The sequence below is a fragment of the Homo sapiens genome, chromosome 5, assembly GCF_000001405.40.
Source record: "Homo sapiens chromosome 5, GRCh38.p14 Primary Assembly".
NCBI classification, from domain to species: Eukaryota; Metazoa; Chordata; class Mammalia; order Primates; family Hominidae; genus Homo; species Homo sapiens.
This window is the reverse complement of record NC_000005.10, coordinates 42,073,373-42,092,323: the sequence shown is the minus strand read 5'-3', so window position 1 is coordinate 42,092,323 and position 18,951 is coordinate 42,073,373. Positions and strand designations below refer to the sequence as shown.

At 38.5% G+C, this 18,951-nt stretch overlaps 2 annotated features.

Moving 5' to 3' along the window:
• Positions 1,152 to 2,351: an enhancer, noted in NCBI's record as "P300/CBP strongly-dependent group 1 enhancer chr5:42090075-42091274 (GRCh37/hg19 assembly coordinates)". NCBI's record gives its function as "activates an origin of replication core promoter dependent on BRD2, BRD4, P300/CBP, MED14 and CDK7 cofactors, with strong dependence on P300/CBP, by STARR-seq in HCT116 cells {active_cell/tissue: HCT116}" and the evidence as "EXISTENCE:reporter gene assay evidence [ECO:0000049][PMID:35650434]".
• Positions 13,177 to 13,702: an enhancer, noted in NCBI's record as "H3K27ac-H3K4me1 hESC enhancer chr5:42078724-42079249 (GRCh37/hg19 assembly coordinates)". NCBI's record gives its function as "activates a minimal SCP1, AML or CMV promoter by ChIP-STARR-seq in naive and primed H9 embryonic stem cells {active_cell/tissue: H9 hESC(naive and primed)}" and the evidence as "EXISTENCE:reporter gene assay evidence [ECO:0000049][PMID:30033119]".

The following is an 18,951-nucleotide window of genomic DNA, read 5'->3' as shown; positions in this document are numbered from 1 at the left end:
TTCAGCTGAAAACAGTAAATGAGGACCTCAGGGGGTAAGATGCTAAACAGTTCTAGATTTAGGTTCCTGAAAAATGTTTCTCTCTTACTCATTATCACAAATTTAAAAGATTGGTCCCAAAAAATTACCTTTTGAAGGCTGAAGTTGATCTGTATGGCAATTGTAAATGAACAGAAATTCATAACAAAAACCTAGAATAAATGCATAGCACTTTGTCTCTCAGAAATACAAGATTTCAACATGGTATACGCAGACCAGTATTAATAAAAGTAAAATATTTTACTATTAACCATATTCTTATCTATTTATCTATCTATCATCTATTGCTTAAAATGGAAACAGATTCATATAAGTTTATATTATTCTAATAATGCAGAAAAGCAATTAGAATTGGAAATAATCCCAGTGAAGTTGATCCTATCATATCAAGAAAAACCTTTCTCAAAAAAGAAATCACTCAACAAATGCAATTTTGGGCTTTTGGGAGCTCCTAGAAGAAGGAACAGAATTAAATTGACATGGAAAAAGGATCAAGTAAATACAGACCATGTAGATATTTCTAAATTTTCCTTCTTGGAAAAACTTTCACAGGCTCCCTTAGTCAACCAAAAGAATTAAAGGGATTAGTTTGGCTTTAAGAAATCCTGTCTGTTGTTCAAACATAGCCCATCAAAAGAATTGCCTTAAAACTACACTTCAGATACACTGAAAGAAAAGGTTTCTGAAACTTGAATTATGTCCCAATTGATTTGCTTTAAATAAAAGAAAGTGGTCCTTATTCTATAAATAGAAAACTGTTCTGCATTGTTATCTTGGTTTGCTCGAATAAGTCTAATCCATTATAACTTACTAGCAGGGTATGAGACTGGGGAAGAGGGGAAGATCTGAATATTTTTTATACTAATGCTGCTGCTGTTGAAGTCACAAACAGAATTTGTTTTGCATCCTTTCATACATTTGATAATAATCAGAATGGAGGTGTAAATATCCTGGAATCCTCCAGAATAATAAAGGTGTATCAAAGAGATGATGGCCCCTGAAAGAGACAAAATGCACAGGACAATTAAATAAATAAATTTGTTTAGGCTGTTGCAATAGTAAGAATGTTCCATAATGAGAAATATCTAAAAAGGTGGTGGTGATGGGTGGCAGGGATTTTATGAAGGCAGATAAACAAGGAAGTCATCAGTTAGTTAATGAGGGTCATGAAGAAGGATGGAGATGAGTCTGACCTCAGTCAACTGAGAAAGAATGGAGATAGGTTATATATCAGTCATTAAAAAGGGATGGAGATGGGTCCTATCTGAGTCACTGAGGAAGGGTTTACATGGGTCCTATCTTATACATGAGAAAGAAAAGTTATTGGTCCTATCTGAGTAAAGAAGGATGAAAACGGGTCCTCTGTGAGTCGTGATTAAGGTTGGAGATTCGTCCTATTGTTGGAGCTACTGAGGAAGAATGAAGATGGGTCCTCTCCAAGATATTGAGGAAGGACAAAGGTGGGTCTCAGGCTGGGTGAGATGGCTTATGCCTGTAATCCCAGCACTTTGGGAGGTCAAAGCAGGAGGATTTCTTGAGCCTAGGAGTTTGAGACCAGCCTGGGTAACATAGCGAGACCTCATCTCTACTAAAAATAAAAATTAAAAAATAGCCAGGTGTGGTGGCACACACCTGTAGTCCCAGCTACTTGAGAGGCTGAGGTGGGAGGATTTCTTGAGCCCATATTGGTTCTATATAAGCCCCTAAGGAAAAATAGGACCATGTCCTATCTGGGTCACTGAAGAAGACTGGAGTAGTGTCTTATATGTCACTGAGGAAGGATGGAAATAGGTCCAATCTGAGTCACTGAGGAAAGACAGAAGGGTCCCATCTGAGTCAATGAGGAAGAGTGAAATTGTTTCTATCTGAGTCACTGAGGAAGGATGGAAATGGATCTCATCTCAGTCATTCAGGTAGGGTGAAGATGATTCCTACCTGAGTCATTGAGGAAGAATAGATATGGGTCTTATCTGAGTTACTGAGGAAAAATGGAAATAGGTCTTATGTGAGCCATAGAGGAAAGGTAGAGATGGATCCTATCTGTTTTATTGAGAAAGAATGGAGATGAGTCCTACTGGAGTGACTGAGGAAGAATGGAGATAGGTTCCATCTGAGTCACTGAGGAAGGGTGAAGATTTGTGCCATATGAGTCTTTGAAATATAATAAAGATGGGTTATATCTGAGCCACTAAGGAAAAAATGAAGATAGATCGTATCTGAGTCATGAAAGAAATGTGAAGATAAGTTCTATCTGAGTCACTGAGAACGAGTGAAAATGGGTCCTATCTGAGTCTTCAAGAAAGGGTGGAGTTGGCTTCTATCTGTGACACTGCAAAAGAATAGAGATGGGTAATATCTTAGTCACTGAGAAATGATGAAGATAGGTCCCAATTGAATCACTGAGGAAGGATTGAGTCTGTTACTTCTGATTCATTGAAGAAGGATGGAGATAGGTTCTATCTTAGTCACTGAGGAACTGTGGAGATGGGCTCTCTCTATGTCATTGAGTAAGGGTGAAGATGAGTCCTATCGGGTCCTAGGGGAAGGGCGGAAATGAATACTATCTCAGTCATGGAGGAACAATAGAAATGGGTCCTATTTGAATCACTGAGGAAACATGGACATGGGTCCTAGCTTAGACGTTGAGGAAGGTTGGAAATGTGTCCTATCTGAGTCATTTAAAAAAGATGGAGTTGTGTTCCATCTGTCGCTGAGGAAGGATGGAAATAGGTCCCATCTGAGTGGTTGATAGTTTGTATCTTTAGTAGAGACAGGGTTTCACCGTGTTGGCCAGCCTGGTCTGAAACTCCTGACCAACCTTGATCCCCCCACCTCGGCCTCCCAAAGTGCTGGGATTACAGGCATGAGCCACCGCGCCTGGCCTTCAGTGACTTTTTATTACGGAAACTTTCAAACGTACACAAGGTCAATATGATAGCATAATTAACAGTCATGTACCACCACTCAACTTCAAGGATCGTCACTACTATACTCTTCACATTTCATCTATTTCCCTGGGGAGATTTGCTGAAGTATTTTAAAGCACAACCTAAGTATCATATTATTTAACTAATGCTTTAGAATGGATATTTAACAAAGATTTATTTTTAAACAAAGCCACAATGCCATTATTACAACCTAATAAAGTCAATAATAATTCTTTTTGTGTTATTTTTATTATTTTTTAGAGACGGAGTCTCACTCTGTTGCCCAGGCTGGAGTGCAGTCACATGATCTCGGCTAACTGCAACCTTCGCCTCCCAGGTTCAAGCAATTCTCCTGCCTCAGCCTCCTCAGGAGCTGGGACTACAGGTGCAGGCCACCACGCCCAGCTAATTTCTTTCGTATTTTTTAGTAGAGACGGGGTTTCACCGTGTTGCCCAGGCTTGTCTCGATCTCCTGAACTCAGGCAACTGCCCGCCTCGGCCTCCCAAAGTGCTATATGTATTATTTATAAAGTAAATTATTTAAATTGCTATTTTAAATCATTTACATACGATTTTTAAAAAAATCCTTCTGAAGCTGGAACTAGTATTATTTGTATTTCACACATAAGGAAACTAGGACATAAAAAGCTGAACTTGCCAAAGTGAAATAACTAATAACTACTCAATATGGGAAGTTAACATATGTTGATCGTTGCTAGGTCCAAACCTCTCAACTGCTAGACTCTGCTTTGTGTCCACACAGTACCAGGTGTGCTCTGCATTATTCATAGAAGGCATTATCTGAATGGTCATTTAATCACTATTCCTATCAGGCATAAGATTTTGTCTTCTATGTTCAAGGTGGGGCCTGTTTCATAGACAGAATAAAAACTCTTTCTTTAAATCTTCTTTCTATAAAATATGGAGTGTAATTTTGGAGGAGAAAGCATTCCTGGTATATTTATTTTCAGCTAAAAACGATAGAGTGGTTCTCAAGAAGTAGAAATGTTCTGCCAAGTTTAGAACCAGAAGACAGAACTTCAAGACCCCAATAGCCTCCAACATCATAGCTCCCTTTTCCACAAATCAGCTCATTTTGGAAATAATTTTGGTGCAACACCAACAGGGAGCAACATTATGCAGAAAGGAAAACCCTGGATGTTATACACAGATTTATTCAGGTAGTGCTGGGGTGTAGAACCATATTCAGTAAACATCTGCTATCATAGGATATATGTAGGTTGCTTATGGGCTTAAAATCAGAAGATAAAGAGGATTTTATTTATTATGTTTACGGTTATGTTAGGAGATTTAGAATACATTAATTTTGTTTCAATGGCAATGTAAGGAGGGATGCTTGGAAGAGTGATTGGGATGTTAACTAAATAACTTGCAATTATTGTTGCATTGCCTCGTTTTATTTTGTCCAACATTAGGATGTTAACTAAATAACATGCAATTGCCACTACATTGCCTCATTTTGTTTTGCCCACATTATTGAAGAGGTAATGTAGAATCCATATATGATAAGGTACCCATCAAAATTGGTTTTCAGTTAATAATCTGGGCAAAAATGAAGATGGAATGCAGAGATACCAATATGGAGGCATGATGGTATGTATGTGCACTGGGTTGAAAACCAGTGGACTTGGATTCCAGCCCTGCTACCACATTCATGTGTGACCCTCAGCAGACAACAGAGAGGCTGAAACATTGGGTTTTAACTTTTGTTTTAAATCAGAAATTGCTCAAATAAAATCTTATTCAAGTTGTGAGTATATTAAATACATTTTTAATTGATCAAATTTCCTGAAGCACAGGTAAACCTTTAAAACCCTCGCCTCACTTACTGGGCCTCTCTGTTTCTCACTACCCAAAGTGAAATCCTAAGAAACAATTCTGAAATTCTATGCCTCTGTCCATAGAGAAAAGTATGAAAATACATGAGACTAGATGATCTCTAAAGTACTTCCTTTAATTTGATGTAATAATGTCTAGGCAGAGAGAGATGCAAAAGCTAAACTTCAAGAGAGTTGATGCCCACATTCACTTCTAGTGTGCTGACTTGAGGTAAAAGTGGGCTTTTGTCTTCCAAGGTAATCATCAGCCCTTTACCCTGTTTCAATTTTTGATGTGAAAATCACTAGATAGTCATCATTTCCTATTGACAATTTATCCTTTTCAAATGTAGGCTCTCTTAGGTATACTCTGAAGCATTGTATCCAAAAATTACTTCCAACTTCCAGATACTGTTAGGCTCTAAAGCGATGTGCATCTTGATGAAGGTAAAGCAATACTTCTGACTGTGATAAGAGCACATTAGAGAGTCTCTAGGACAGATCTTTAGGGCAATGAAAAGGTTTCACCAGAAGACAAGAATAAGAAGGAAGGGGGAGAGGAAAGACAAATCACAAGTTCTTCATAGGGTGGCCAAGGTTTGGCCACACAAATCTTTTATCAACTTGATTTGTGTAGACCCTCAAAGAAGATCACTTTGTTGCAGAGAAATTTAAGATTCATAAGGCAAGAACATCAAACAAGCACCCTATGCTTTTTATGGGATTCACAAATTACATCTGAGTAAAAACGGGAACAAATATTCCTTTTAATTTATCGTTTGTTCACATCACTTCCCTCAGCATCAGCACTTTATTTTCTGAATAAATTTTTATTCCTTTTCTGTGCTTGTATATCAATTTAGATAATACTGACATGACTTTCCATTCTAGCAAGGTCATTACCAGTTCCTGGTTCTATTTGTTTTGCTTTTGTATTTTATCCATTTCCCACAGAAAGACTGTAACATCTATATCTTTCATTGGTTTTGGTAGCAAAATAAACCTTTGCTTTTTATGTAATTTTTTTAGTTGCTTAGATTCTGACCAACTTTATTTATTAAGATGAATAGAATGTGGTAGAAGAGTTTTGTGCTAATAGCTAAGAAAGCTAAATTTTATTTGTGCAAAATGATCCCGGGTAGAACTCAAAATTAAGATCATTATTATTTGTCCTAGATTTTAAAACACAGAACATTGGTAGTTAACTTACCAGGAAACAGAACAAATGACTGGTCAACATCACTCCGATTTTAGACATTTATGGGTTGGTACATCTTGTTTGTTGAACTGAGAGACCACTTAACACTAATGGCTGTTTTCAAGGTTGGATTGTTTTAAACCTTCAGTCACGGAAATGCTGGAAGTAAATTTGTATAGAATGGTGGGCTTTTAAAATGAACATGGTAAGAAAAGAGTTGCCCATTTGACCTAATACACAAGGAAACCATAATGCTGAGCCTACTCTGAAGATAACCTGGCTTACTGTGACTAGGACACAGGTTTAGAGCGTCTTTGCCATTATTTGACTAAACCTACATAAGCAATAGAATTGTGATGTGGATAAGCTTCAATAGTCTTACCATACTGGAATAGCTTGCTTAAGGATGAATTCAATAATAATTAGCATTCTGTTTATGACGTTAAAATAGTCAACTCACAGAATTATTTCTACCCATTGAGAGAGTGAAAATGGCAAGATTTTCAAATAAGAAACAAATTTACTTAAGTTGAGAGCATTTAGTATAATATTTAAAATACAGCTAAGGTATTCTTATATTCACAACAAAATTAAAATGCATAAGGAAGATTTAAAAGGAGTTAAGGTCTTGAGATGACTTCTAATACTAAAATATTTGGCAGGCTATTTTGTAATTAGCATTTGATAGTGTTATCAAGACATAATTCATATAACATAAAATTTATTCATTTAAAATATACAATTCAATGTATTGTATATATACACAAGGTTGTGCAAACATCAACACGATGTTATTTAGAACATTCCATCTCCCCCACGAAAGAAAACTCATACTCATTAGCAATCACTCCCCATTTTCCCCTTCCCTCAGTCCCTAGCAACCACTAATCCTCTTTCCATCTCCACAAATTCTGCCTATTCTGGATAATTCATGTAAATTAAATCACACAATATGTGGTGTTTTGTAACTGGCTTTCATTTAGCATGTTTTCAAGGTCCATCTATGCTGCAGCATGAAGCATTAATTCAATTCTCTTTATTGCTAAATAGTATTCCACTGTAAAGATCGAATACATTTTGTTTACCCATTCATTAGTTGATGGAAACTTGCATTATTTTTATGTTCTGGCTATCATGAATAATACCACTAAGAATAGCTGTAAAAGTTTGTAAATTTTTTTGTGTGGATATTTGTTTTCAAATCTCCTGGTTATATACCTAGGTGTATAATGACTGGGTAATAAGGTATCTCTATATTCCTAACATTTTGGGGAACTGGCAGTTTTCCAATGTGGCTGTGCCATTTTACATTCTCACTGCATTATAAGATAATTCCAGTTTCTCCACATTCTTACCAACACATATTATTATGTATCTTTCAAATTATAGGCATTCCAGTAGTTATGAAGTATTACCACAATGAATTTTTGTTTTGCATTTTCCTAATGACTAAGCATATTATCTTTTCATGTACTTATTAGCCATTTGTGTATCGTCTTAGAATGAGTGTCTATTCAAGTTCTTTGATCATTTGTCTAACTGAGCTGTTTTTCTTTTTGTTGTTGAATTTTAAGAGTTCTCTATATATTCTGGATACAAGGCCTTTATCAAATATATGATGCGTAATATTCTCTCCCATTCTATTTTTTTTATTTTCTTGAGAGTGTCCTTTGATGCACAAAGATTTTTAATTTTGATGCAGTCCAATTTACTAACTTTTCTTTTTTTGCTTGTGCTTCTCATGTCATAGCTAAGAATTCAATATCAAGACTTCTAATCCATGAACACAAACTATATGGAATGTTTTTCCATTTGTTTGTGTTATCTCTGATTTCTTTGAGCAGTGGTCTCTAGTTCCCCTTGAAGAGGTCCTTCACTTCCCTTGTTAGCTGTATTTCTAGGTATTTTATTATCTTTGTGGCAATTGTAAATGGGAGTTCATTCATGCTTTGGCCCTCTGCTTCCCTGTTATTGGAGTATGGGAATGTTAGCAATTTTTGCACGTTGATTTTTATTTATTATTATTATTATACTTTAAGTTATAGGGTACATGTGCACAATGTGCAGGTTAGTTACAAATGTATACATGTGACATGCTGGTGCGCTGCACCCACTAACTCGTCATCTAGCATTAGGCATATCTCCCAATGCTATCCCTCCCCCTTTCCCCCACCCCACAACAGTCCCCAGAGTGTGATATTCCCCTTCCTGTGTCCATGTGTTCCCATTGTTCAATTCCCACCTATGAGTGAGAATATGCAGTGTTTGGTTTTTTTGTTCTTGTGATAGTTGACTGAGAATGATGATTTCCAATTTCATCCATGTCCCTACAAAGGACATGAACTCATTATTTTTAATGGCTGCATAGTATTCCATGGTGTATATGTGCCACATTTTCTTAATCCAGTCTATCATTGTTGGACATTTGGGTTGGTTCCAAGTCTTTGCTATTGTGAATAATGCCACAATAAACATACGTGTGCATGTGTCTTTATAGCACCATGATTTATAGTCCTTTGGGTATATACCCAGTAATGGGATGGCTTGGTCAAATGGTATTTCTAGTTCTAGATCCCTGAGGAATCGCCACACTGACTTCCACAATGGTTGAACTAGTTTACAGTCCCACCAACAGTGTAAAAGTGTTCCTATTTCTCCAAATCCTCTCCAGCACCTGCTGTTTCCTGACTTTTTAATGCTTGCCATTCTAACTGGTGTGAAATGGTATCTCATTGTGGTTTTGATTTGCATTTCTCTGATGGCCAGTGATGGTGAGCATTTTTTCATGTGTTTTTTGGCTGCATAAATGTCTTCTTTTGGGAAGTGTCTGTTCATGTCCTTTGCCCACTTTTTGATGGGGTTGTTTATTTTTTTCTTGTAAATTTGTTGGAGTTCATTGTAGATTCTGGATATTAGCCCTTTGTCAGATGAGTAGGTTGCAAAAATTTTCGCCCATTTTGTAGGTTGCCTGTTCACTCTGATGGTAGTTTCTTTTGCTTTGCAGAAGCTCTTGAGTTTAATTAGATCCCATTTGTCAATTTTGGCTTTTGTTGCCATTGCTTTTGGTGTTTTGGACATGAAGTCCTTGCCCATGCCTATGTCCTGAATGGTGTTGCCTAGGTTTTCTTCTAGGGTTTTTATGGTTTTAGGTCTAACGTTTAAGTCTTTAATCCATCTTGAATTGATTTTTGTATAAGGTGTAAGGAAGGGATCCAGTTTCAGCTTTCTACATATGGCTAGCCAGTTTTCCCAGCACCATTTATTAAATAGGGAATCCTTTCCCCATTGCTTGTTTTTCTCAGGTTTGTCAAAGATCAGATAGTTGTAGACATGCGGCATTATTTCTGAGGGCTCTGTTCTGTTCTGTTGATCTATATATCTGTTTTGGTACCAGTACCATGCTGTTTTGGTTACTGTAGCCTTGTAGTATAGTTTGAAGTCAGGTAGTGTGATGCCTCCAGCTTTGTTCTTTTGGCTCAGGATTGACTTGGCGATGTGGACTCTTTTTTGGTTCCATATGAACTTTAAAGTAGTTTTTTCCAATTCTGTGAGGAAAGTCATTGGTAGCTTGATGGGGATGACATTGAATCTGTAAATTACCTTGGGCAGTATGGCCATTTTCACAATATTGATTCTTCCTACCCATGAGCATGGAATGTTCTTCCATTTGTTTGTATCCTCTTTTATTTCGTTGAGCAGTGTTTTATAGTTCTCCTTGAAGAGGTCCTTCACATCCCTTGTAAGTTGGATTCCTGGGTATTTTATTCTCTTTGAAGCAATTGTGAATGGGAGTTCACTCATGATTTGGTTCTCTGTTTGTCTGTTGTTGGTGTATAAGAATGCTTGTGATTTTTGTACATTGATTTTGTATCCTGAGACTTTGCTGAAGTTGCTTATCAGCTTAAGGAGATTTTGGGCTGAGACGATGGGGTTTTCTAGATATACAATCATGTCGTCTGCAAACAGGGACAATTTGACTTCCTCTTTTCCTAATTGAATACCCTTGATTTCCTTGTCCTGCCTAATTGCCCTGGCCAGAACTTCCAACACTATTTTGAATAGGAGTGGTGAGAGAGGGCATCCCTGTCTTGTGCCAGTTTTCAAAGGGAATGCTTCCAGTTTTTGCCCATTCAGTATGATATTGGCTGTGGGTTTGTCATAGATAGCTCTTATTATTTTGAGATACGTCCCATCAATACCTAATTTATTGAGAGTTTTTAGCATGAAGGGCTGTTGAATTTTGTCAAAGGCCTTTTCTGCATCTATTGAGATAATCATGTGGTCCTTGGTTCTGTTTATATGCTGGATTACATTTATTGATTTGTGTATATTGAACCAGCCTTGCATCCCAGGGATGAAGCCCACTTGATCATGGTGGATAAGCTTTTTGATGTGCTGCTGGATTCGGCTTGCCAGTATTTTATTGAGGATTTTTGCGTCAATGTTCATCAAGGATATTGGTCTAAAATTCTCTTTTTTGGTTGTGTCTCTGCCAGGCTTTGGTATCAGGATGATGCTGGCCTCATAAAATGAGTTAGGGAGGATTCCTTCTTTTTCTATTGATTGGAATAGTTTCAGAAGGAATGGTACCAGTTCCTCCTTGTACCTCTGGTAGAATTCGGCTGTGAATCCATCTGGTCCTGGACTCTTTTTCTTTGGTAAGCTATTGATTATTGCCACAATTTCTGCTCCTGTTATTGGTCTATTCAGAGATTCAACTTCTTCCTGGTTTAGTCCTGGGAGAGTGTATGTGTTGAGGAATTTATCCATTTCTTCTAGATTTTCTAGTTTATTTGTGTAGAGCTGTTTGTAGTATTCTCTGATGGTAGTTTGTATTTCTGTGGGATTGGTGGTGATATCCCCTTTATCATTTTTTATTACATCTATTTGATTCTTATCTCTTTTCTTCTTTATTAGTCTTGCTAGCAGTCTATCAATTTTGTTGATCCTTTCAAAAAACCAGCTCCTGGATTCGTTAATTTTTTGAAGGGTTTTTTGTGTCTCTATTTCCTTCAGTTCTGCTCTGATTTTAGTTATTTCTTGCCTTCTGCTAGCTTTTGAATGTGTTTGCTCTTGTTTTTCTAGTTCTTTTTATTGTGATGTTAGGGTGTCAATTTTAGATCTTTTCTGCTTTCTCTTGTGGGCATTTAGTGCTATAAATTTCCCTCTACACACTGCTTTGAATGTGTCCCAGAGTTTCTGGTAGGTTGTGTCTTTGTTCTCGTTGGTTTCAAAGAACATCTTTATTTCTGCCTTCATTTCGTTATGTACCCAGTAGTCATTCAGGAGCAGGTTGTTCAGTTTCCATGTAGTTGAGCGGTTTTGAGTGACATTCTTAATCCTGAGTTCTAGTTTGATTGCACTGTGGTCTGAGAGATAGTTTGTTATAATTTCTGTTCTTTTACATTTGCTGAGGAGAGCTTTACTTCCAAGTATGTGGTCAATTTTGGAATAGGTGTGGTGTGGTGCTGAAAAGAATGTATATTCTATTGATTTGGGGTGGAAAATTCTGTAGATGTCTATTAGGTCCAATTGGTGCAGAGCTGAGTTCAATTCCTGGGTATCCTTGTTGACTTTCTGTCTCGTTGATCTGTCTAATGTTGACAGTGGGGTGTTAAAGTCTCCCATTATTAATGTGTGGGAGTCTAAGTCTCTTTGTAGGTCACTCAGGACTTGCTTTATGAATGTGCGTGCTCCTGTATTGGGTGCATATATATTTAGGATAGTTAGCTCTTCTTGTTGAATTGATCCCTTTACCATTATGTAATGGCCTTCTTTGTCTCTTTTGATCTTTGTTGGTTTAAAGTCTCTTTTATCAGAGACTAGGATTGCAACCCCTGCCTTTTTTTGTTTTCCATTTGCTTGGTATATCTTCCTCCATCCTTTTATTTTGAGCCTATGTGTGTCTGTGCACGTGAGTTGGGTTTCCTGAATACAGCACACTGATGGGTCTTGAGTCTTTATCCAATTTGCCAGTCTGTGTCTTTTAATTGGAGCATTTTGTCCATTTACATTTAAAGTTAATATTGTTATGTGTGAATTTGATCCTGTCATTATGATGTTAGATGGTTATTTTGCTCGTTAGTTGATGCAGTTTCTTCCTAGTCTTGATGGTCTTTACATTTTGGCATGATTTTGCAGCGGCTGTTACTGGTTGTTCCTTTCCATGTTTAGTGCTTCCTTCAGGAGCTCTTTTAGGGCAGGCCTGGTGGTGACAAAATCTCTCAACATTTGCTTGTCTGTAAAGTGTTTTATTTCTCCTTCACTTATGAAGCTTAGTTTGGCTGGATATGAAATTCTGGGTTGAAAATTCTTTTCTTTAAGAATGTTGAATATTGGCCCCCACTCTCTTCTGGCTTATAGAGTTTCTGCCGAGAGATCCGCTGTTAGTCTGATGGGCTTCCCTTTGAGGGTAACCTGACCTTTCTCTCTGGCTGCCCTTAACATTTTTTCCTTCATTTCAACTTTGGTGAATCTGACAATTATGTGTCTTGGTGTTGCTCTTCTCAAGGAGTATCTTTGTGGCGTTCTCTGTATTTCCTGAATCTGAATGTTGGCCTGCCTTGCTAGATTGGGGAAGTTCTCCTGGATAATATCCTGCAGAGTGTTTTCCAACTTGGTTCCATTCTCCCCTTCACTTTCAGGTACACCAATCCGTCGTAGATTTGGTCTTTTCACATACTCCCATATTTCTTGGAGGCTTTGTTCGTTTCTTTTTATTCTTTTTTCTCTAAACTTCCCTTCTTGCTTCATTTCATTCATTTCATCTTCCATTGCTGATACCCTTTCTTCCAGTTGATTGCATCAGCTCCTGAGGCTTCTGCATTCTTCACGTAGTTCTTGAGCCTTGGTTTTCAGCTCCATCGGCTCCTTTAAGCACTTCTCTGTATTGGTTATTCTAGTTATACATTCTTCTAAACTTTTTTCAAAGTTTTCAACTTCTTTGCCTTTGGTTTGAATGTCCTCCCATAGCTCGGGGTAATTTGATTGTCTGAAGCCTTCTTCTCTCAGCTTGTCAAAGTCATTCTCCATCCAGCTTTGTTCCATTGCTGGTGAGGAACTGTGTTCCTTTGGAGGAGGAGAGGCGCTCTGCTTTTTAGAGTTTCCAGTTTTTCTGCTGTTTTTTCCCCATCTTTGTGGTTTTATCTACTTTTGGTCTTTGATGATGGTGATGTACAGATTGGTTTTTGTTGTGGATGTCCTTTCTGTCTGTTAGTTTTCCTTCTAACAGACAGGACCCTCAGCTGCAGGTCTGTTGGAGTACCCGGCCGTGTGAGATGTCAATCTGCCCCTGCTGGGGGTTGCCTCCCAGTTAGGCTGCTCGGGGGTCAGGGGTCAGGGACCCACTTGAGGAGGCAGTCTGCCTGTTCTCAGATCTCCAGCTGCCTGCTGGGAGAACCACTGCTCTCTTCAAATCTGTCAGACAGGGACATTTAAGACTGCAGAGGTTGCTGCTGTCTTTTTGTTTGTCTGTGCCCTGCCCCCAGAGGTGGAGCCTACAGAGGCAGGCAGGCCTCTTTGAGCTGTGGTGGGCTCCACCCAGTTTGAGCTTCCAGGCTGCTTTGTTTACCTAAGCAAGCCTGGGCAATGGCGGGCGCCCCTCCCCCAGCCTCGCTGCCGCCTTGCAGTTTGATCTCAGACTGCTGTGCTAGCAATCAGCGAGACTCCGTGGGCGTAGGACCCTCTGAGCCAGGTGCAGGATATAATCTCCTGGTGCGCCGTTTTTTTAAGCCTGTGGGAAAAGCGCAGTATTGGGGAGGGAGTGACCCAATTTTCCAGGTGCCATTTGTCACCACTTTCTTTGACTAGGAGAGGGAACTCCCTGACTCCTTGCACTTCCCGAGTGAGGCAATGCCTCGCCCTCTTTCAGCTCATGCACTGTGCGTGCACCCACTGACCTGCGCCCACTGTCTGGCACTCCCTAGTGAGATGAACCCGGTACCTCAGATGGAAATGCGGAAATCACCCGTCTTCTGCGTCGCTCACGCTGGGAGCTGTAGACCAGAGCTGTTCCTATTCCTCCATCTTCAGATCATTTTCCCACTTTGATTTTTTATCCTGAGACTTTACTGAAGTTGCTTATCAGCTTAAGTAGCTTTTGGGTTGGGATGATGGAATATTCTAGATATAATATTATGTCACTGAAACAAAGAGTTTGACTTCCTCTCTTCTTATCTGAAAACTATTTATTTGTTTCTCTTGCCTGATTGCCCTGGCCAGAACTTCCAATACTGTGTTGAATAGGAGTGGTGAGACAGGGTATCCTTCTCTTGTGCTGGTTTTCAAGGGGGAAGCTTCTAGCTTTTTCCCATTCAGTATAATATTGGCTGTGGGTTTGTCATATATGACTCTTATTATTTGAGGTATGTTCCTTTAATACCTAGTTTATTAAGAGTTTTTAACATGAAGGGATGTTGAATTTTATCAAAGGCCTTTTCTGCATCTATTGAGATAATCATGTGTTTTTGTCTTTAGTTCTGATTATGTGATGAATCATATTTATTGATTTGTGTATTTTGAAACAACCTTGCATCCTGGGGATGATACCTACTTGATGGTGATGCATAAGCAGTTTGATGTGCTGCTGGATTCAGTTTGCCAATATTTTACTGAAGATTTTTGCATTGATGCTTATCAAGGATATTGGCCTGAAGTTTTGTTTTTTTGTTGTATCTCTGCCAGGTTTTGGTATAGAATGAGGCCAGCATCATTCAATTTTCAATTTTTTGAAATAATTTCAGTAGAAATGATACCAGCTCTTCTTTGTAACTCTGGCAGAAATCAGCTTGTGAATCCATCTGGTCCTGGGCTTTTTTTTTTTTTTTTTTTTTTTTTTTTTGGTTGGTATTCTATTTATTACTGCCTCAATTTTAGAACTCATTATTGGTCTATTCAAGACTTCAGCTTCTCCTAGTTCAGTCTTGGGATGCTGTATGTGTCCAGGAATTTGTGTATTTCTTCTAGATTTTCTAGTTTATGTGCATAGAGGTAGTTTATAATATTCTCTGGTGGTGGTTTGTATTTCTATGGGCCCACAGGCTGAACTGACTGGGAAACCTGAACAGCCAAAGTGGTGGCCTGCCCCACCCCCAGGCACTTTTTCCCAGGGGGAAATTAGAGCTCTGTTCATGGAAAACTGGCTGGAATGGCTGAAGCCCTGGCTGGGAGGTCTTGTCCAGTGATGAGGAGTGAATCAGTGTCTCACTTAAAGAAGCAGTCTGGCCACGATATGGAAAAGCAACTGTGCTGTGTTGGGGGAGACCCTTCCTCATCTGGGCCATTTGGACTCTTCAAAGCCTGCACGCTGGAATGGCTGAATGGACCAAACCACAGAGATGATGGCCACACCTCCCCTTGGGAGCTCCTACCAGCCTTAGGCAAATTCCACCCTGTTGCCATTGGCTGGCTAGAATTTCAAGCCAGTGAGTGAGTCTTATCTTGTGAGGTGCTACGGAAGTGGGAACCACAGAATGATGTTGCTTGGCTCCCTGAATTCAGCCCCCTTCCTAGGGGTATGCACGGACCTCCTTCCTTGCCTGAGTTGCAGACACCATTGTTGGGGATCCTGGGGATGGAGTGTGTAAAGCTCCTGTGTCTCTGTGTGTGCCTGGTCAGCTGCTCTGCCGAGACTCCACACAGCTCTGTGTGTTAAGACCCAAGGCCCTGGTGGCACAGGATCATGAGGGGATCTCCTGATCCATGGGTTGCAAAGATTCGTGGAAGGAGTGTGGTTTCCCAGGTGGGGTTGCACAATCACTCACCATTTCCCTTGGCTGGGGGTGCCAGTTGCCTTGGCTCTGTGTTGCTCCTGGGTGTGCCACAGACCCACCCTGCTTTTCTTCCTTCTTCATAGGTCATGGGTCAAGTTGTTTGGCTAATCAGTCCCAATGCGAGAACCTCGATATTTCAGTTGAAGGTACTGTATTCTCTTGCCCATTTCTTTCCTCTTCATGAGTACCGTGGACTGCAGCTGCTTCTTATCGGCCATCTTGACCCCCCTCCTATTTCAATGTTTAACATTAGAAGTGTTTTGGGTCTTTATTTAGAAGTTTGGTGATGATTTTTTTTACCAAAAATATGATGTAAGAACTTAAATCTTGTGTACATCAATTGGCCTATGGTAAAATTGATTTTGTTATATGTCATTTCACTTAAACTTACAGCTTCCAAGAACTTATCAATTATGTTAATGAGGACTGACTGTACTTTTCCAAATCTATTGAGATCATCATGAAACATTTTTCTTTTATTAATATGATGGATCACACTAATTAATTTTCAGATTTTAAACCAACTTTGAATTCTGGGGATAAATCTCCTTTGTCATTGTGTAAATCATTTTTATATGTTGCTAGATTCAATTTGCTTATGTTTTGTTGCAGATTTTTGCTTCTATGTTTATAAGAATATCAGTCCATAATATTCTTTGTTGAACTTTGGCCTGAGGGTACTAATGGCCTTGTGGAATGAGTCAAACAGTGTTCTCTCTTCTTGTTTTTTAATAGTTTGTGAGTAATTGATATTAACTCTTCTGTAAATGTCTGATAGAATTCACTATTAAATCTCTCTGGTCCTGGGTTTTGTGTGTGTGTGTTGGGAAGAGAAAATTTGTTTAAAATTACTAACTAAATATCACGTTTTGTATTTCTTATTTTATCAGATTTCTATTCTTTTTGAGTCAGTTTAGTGTTTGTGTCTTTCTAGTAATGTCTCAATTTCATCTGGGTTATCAAATTTGCTGGCATATAATTGTTAACAGTATTTTCCTATAACACATTTTACATCATAAGTATTTTTTTCTAATTTTCTTGGTCTGTTATGCAAAAAGCTTATCAGTTTTGAAGTTTTCCCAAAACACTTTTAATTTTGTTATTTTTTTCTATTGTTTTTCTATTTTATATTTTTACTTATCTCTGCTCTAATTTTTATTATCTTCTTTCTGTTTATCTGCATTGGGTTTGGTTTGCTCTTCTTTTTCTAATTTCTTATGGTAAAAGATTGGCTTATTGATTTGAGATTTGCCCTCTTTTTTGATATAGACATTTCCAAATACAAATTTCTTTCTAAGCAGTGATTGTCTGCATCCCATAGGTTTTTATGGATTGTGTTTTTATTCTTCTGAAGGGACTTCCACTGTGATTTTTTCTTGACCCTTTAGTTGTTTAGAATGTCTTGTTTAATTCTCACATATTTATAGATTTTCTGAATTTTATTCTGTTATTTTTGTCTATTTTAATTGTTACCATGCTCTGAGAACAAATTTTGTATAATTTTAATCCTTTTATATTTGTTGAGGGTTCTTTTACAGCCTCGCATATGATCTATCCTGGAGAATGTGAGAAGAATGTCTACTTTGCTGCTGTTGGATGAAGTATTCTATAGATGTCTGTTAGGTCTAGTTGGTTTATAATGTTCGTGTCTTCTGTTTGCTTGTTGATTTATGCCTAGTTTTATTTTTAAGTAAAAGAAGATAATGAAGTCTTCAACTATTATTGTTGAATTGTATATGGATCACATTTTTCTATTTCCATATGTGTTTTAATTTTTTGTTTAAGACTGGGTATTTAGATAAAATTTAGCAACTCTGAATACAATGTCTCTCTTCAGTAAAGGGGAAGGATACTGTTGTTGATGGTTTGGTCATTTGTTTATTTGCTTAGTGACTGCGCTGAACTCTTGAACTCCTTCTGCAAAGTCTATTTTCTCTGTCATGTGGAGTCTCTGTTGTCCCTACTCAGATATTTTCCCCCTTGTTTTATCCTTTATCTTGGGTATCTAAGAGTTATTTCTAGGTTAAAGGTTGTGTTTAGGCCCCATTACCTAATTGTATTTTTACCCTTTTAACATTGGATATGTGTGTTCCTTTGAGGCTGCTATTGCAGTTGAGTTTACTTTGTTTGCCCAATGTCATCCAGGGACTATTAGTTTGGATGTCCCCTCTCTGATTGCTCCAGAGAGGAAACAGTCTCGGACATGCAAACAGTCTTCCAGACTCTCAGGGATGCAAGAAATTTTAATTTTAGGCCTGGCTTCTTAGGAGTTGTCCCTGCATTTGAGTATCTTATTGTTATTCAGTGTTTTGTCAGAGGTTGTGTTTAACCCCTTTTGTCAGTGAAGTTTTTCCCCTTTGTGGACGGATCTACATGTGGCTTTGGAAATGCTATCTTGGCTGCCCCACATCATGCTGTAATTTCTCCCCAGTGGGTGAAGCCCGGGACATAGTACATAGCCTCTCAAATCCCCAAGGTTAGCAGCTGTCATGGGCAATTATGTCCCCGACAAATTAATATTTGAGGTCCTAATCCCAAGTACCTCAGAATGTGACTATATTTGTAGATATGACCTTTAAAGAGGTAATTAAGTTTAAATGAGATCATTAGGGTTGGCCTTAATACAATATGACTGGTGCCTTTATAAGAACAGGAAATTAGTAAGCAGACAACACAGACAAAGGGATGATCCTTTGAAGACACAGCAAAAAGTTATCTATCTGAAACTCAACCCTAATAAGGAACTAATCCCACCAACACCTTGATCTTGGACTTTTAGCTTCCTAAACTGTGAGAAAATAGTTTTCGTTGTTTAAGCTGCCCAGTCTGTGTATTTTGTAATGGCAGACTAATATAGTAGTGATAGTAGGGGGCTGTATCTTTCTCTGATTCTATTAAACTTCTGGCTGCTGAGCCATTTTGCTCTTATCATGGTGCTGCTAACCTCCTCAACCTCCTCTTAACTGCTCTTCACCAACCTCTTTATTGCTTTTGACAACACTTTTAGGTATTAAGTTCTCTGAGCTCTGTTCCTAATAAAATCATTCTTCTCAGGCAGAGTTACGAAACTTCTTCATCTGTACTTACACCTGCCTTTCCTCTGGGCAGAACTCCTATGTACCAGAGCTGGGGGAAAGACCCACTATTCCCAAAGTGAGAGCCCTTCTCTACAAGAAGGT